This window comes from Homo sapiens, chromosome 9, assembly GCF_000001405.40.
Source record: "Homo sapiens chromosome 9, GRCh38.p14 Primary Assembly".
Classification (NCBI taxonomy): Eukaryota; Metazoa; Chordata; class Mammalia; order Primates; family Hominidae; genus Homo; species Homo sapiens.
Window position 1 is genome coordinate 93868926 of NC_000009.12, and position 2950 is coordinate 93871875.

Sequence of the window (2950 nt, forward strand, 5' to 3'; positions counted from 1 at the left end):
TGTTTTTATGAGTATATTATTGTATCTGTTTTCTGTGTGCACATGTATGTATGTGCGTGTACATGTGTGTACACGCATATATGGTGTGTGTGCACTTGTGTGTATTATGTGTCCATACAAGGCATGTATTTGTGTGTGTGCATATGTATGTGTGTATCACTCACTTGGTCACACTGGCCCTATGAGTTTTCATTTTCAGACCCAAATTTGCTCTCAAACTTTTCACTGGAAGCCTGGTTGCCGATTGCTCAAAACAAATCACATCAGATGCTGTGTGCAGGCCTTTGTTCTGGGCAGAGCACCAATGGCCTTGTTATGTTAAAGAATGCACTCACTTCGCACAGAGGGGACAAGGAGAAAGTTGTGAGTCCAGCCCTGCAGGGATCAGCAGGAGCTGAGTGACCAGCACAGTGGACGGTGACATTCAACTGATGCACTGTTCAGAGGGCCAGATGGCAGTAACGGGCAATGATGAACTTTGCAGACACAGGGCTGAACAGAAAAAGCAAAATACCGACATGAAAAACTCACAGGCACAAAACAACATGTGTTCAAGAAACAAATTCCAGACAAAAGGAAACACCAAACGCATAGGAATGGGGGCCTCCTGGGGAGGGATTTGGAAACAAGGGAACAAGTCCGAAATTTAAATTAGAGGGCTGCCTGGCCAGCCGGTAGGGGTGACTCCCCGCCAACTGAGGGCACTGGGTAACAGGCCCAGATGAAAATAACAGCTGCCATTTTACACACAAAAGGCACAGACCCTGTGAAATACTGTCAGAGTGGAGTACAAGGATGTCACGATGGCCACAGTCTCCTGGGACTTCCAGGAGCTTCTCACTGGGCCAGGGGTTTTCTGATCTATGCAACAGGCACCACTCCTGGCCAGAGGCCACTCCACACATTTTCATCAGGAACCCAGGGCTCTGGGGAGTTCATGCCCATGAGCAACCAGTGAGAACTCATGGGCGCAGGTGGAGTGGACATGGATGTGCAGAGAGAGCCCCCAAAATCCAAGCCTTGCCTAGGGCCTTCTGTTCACTCTCGCGCTGTGGGCAGAGGTCCCTGGAGAGCCAGTGAGAGGACAAGGTCATTTCCTGCCCAGCAGGTCCCCACCCCCGTCTCTGGCCTGAGAGAAGCCTGAGAGCCAGCTGCTGGGGAGCCCGCCCCCAGGTGGCATGGCCTGGGCAGGGGGTGAAATGTCAGCTGTGGGCTGCCAGACTAGAGTTCTCGGCTAGTCCTGACCCTGCATCCCACCTCCCACCATCCCAGAACCCCAGAGCAGAGCAGCAGCCGAGCCTCAGATATCTCGTACTACCACCTGCTTGCTCCCTGACCAGGAGGCCAAGGCTGGAGGGAAGACACAGCCTTGGGGACAGGGTGAGGGTCTTATGGCCATGTTGGCTCCTGAGCAAGGATCTGTGGCTGGTGGGGTTCACCTTAGGGGATGGGAGGACAGAAATTTCACATGTATCACACGCACACACAACGCATGCACCACACAAGCTTCACACACCACATGCACACACGTGCACCACACACATACACACAATACTGAGCTTTCACACTTTCCAAAGCCTGACTGGCTGCCCCAGCCGCACTGCAGCCCTGGGTTCCGTGGGCTGGGAGCTGAGCCTGTGGGACTAGGACACCTGCCCACAGCCACTCACACAGCCATCCCATGACCCCTCACACAGCCACCCTATGACCACTCACACAGCCACCCCATTACTGAGTCCAGGTGCCTCTGACCCCCTGCTCTGTTGGGGCTTGGATGCCTACTTGGCCACCCTCTCCTCTCACAGGTGGGGACACTGAGATCCAGAGAGTAGCTGTGACACAGCTGGCAGGTAACAGGATGGGGCTTCCCACCCAGCCAAACCCTCAGGCCTTCCCTGGCCCCTGGAACTAGAGGATTCTACACTTTCCTCTGGCAGGACAAGTCCTTTGCTATTTTTACCGTAAATCTGTCTCTCCTTAGACATCTGCTCCTCCAGGAAGTTCTCCCTGGCTCCCTCTCCCCCGGCTCACCCCGGGATGAACTGGTACCCCTGTGATGCATGGAGTACCTGTTCCAACTTGGACACACAGTGCTACTCCCTTCCTCCCGCCAGGTTCTCTGAGACAGAGACCTTATCTGGTGGGTCCTGTCCGTGCCCAGTACCCAGCCGAGTATCAGGAGCTGACAGGGCAGCTGCACTCTTATGAGTAAGCTACCAAATGGGAGATTGCCCCAATGTTCTCTATTTATTAAGCAAACACACAAAGACACCTGACCTCCCACAGTCTGGGATGTAGTGGACCTGTCAGGTCCCACCCAGCCCTGGCCTTCTGCACCCTCTGTTCCCACAGTCTCAAGGTGAAATCCACTCCCCTATCAGCCCCTGAGGCTCCTTTGCAGGGAGAGAGGTGCCCTGAAGCTGCTGGAACCCACTTTGCGTCTACACCTGAAGGATGGGGAGCACCTCAGAATTCAGACCTCAGGTATTACCAGTCCTTGGCCGATGACCATCAGACAGGGAATGTGGCAGTCCTCGCTCCACATTGGAATGGGCTTGAAAAGCGCCCAGCAGGAGGGGCTCATGGACTTTGCCTGGCCTCACACCCTTTCTTGGCTCCTCTGCCTTTTCTGCTCTTTCCTCATCAGTCACCTTCACACCAGCCCTCAACTCAGGCTCTGCTTCTGGGATTGGTTACTGAAAATTGTCCTATCAAGTCTGGGCATAATGGCTTATAACTGTAACCCCAGCACTTTGGGAGGCCAAGGTAGGAGGATCGCTTGAGGCCAGAATTCAAGACCAGCCTGGGTAACATAACAAGACACTGTCTCTATATATAAAACACACACACACACACACACACACACAAAACACAAATTAGCCGGGTGTGGTACCGCATGCCTGTAGCCCCAGCTACTAGGGAGGCTAAGGCAAGAGGATCACTTGAACAC

At 53.6% G+C, this 2950-nt stretch overlaps 1 annotated feature.

Moving 5' to 3' along the window:
- Positions 1044-1774: an enhancer, noted in NCBI's record as "H3K27ac-H3K4me1 hESC enhancer chr9:96632251-96632981 (GRCh37/hg19 assembly coordinates)". NCBI's record gives its function as "activates a minimal SCP1, AML or CMV promoter by ChIP-STARR-seq in naive H9 embryonic stem cells {active_cell/tissue: H9 hESC(naive)}" and the evidence as "EXISTENCE:reporter gene assay evidence [ECO:0000049][PMID:30033119]".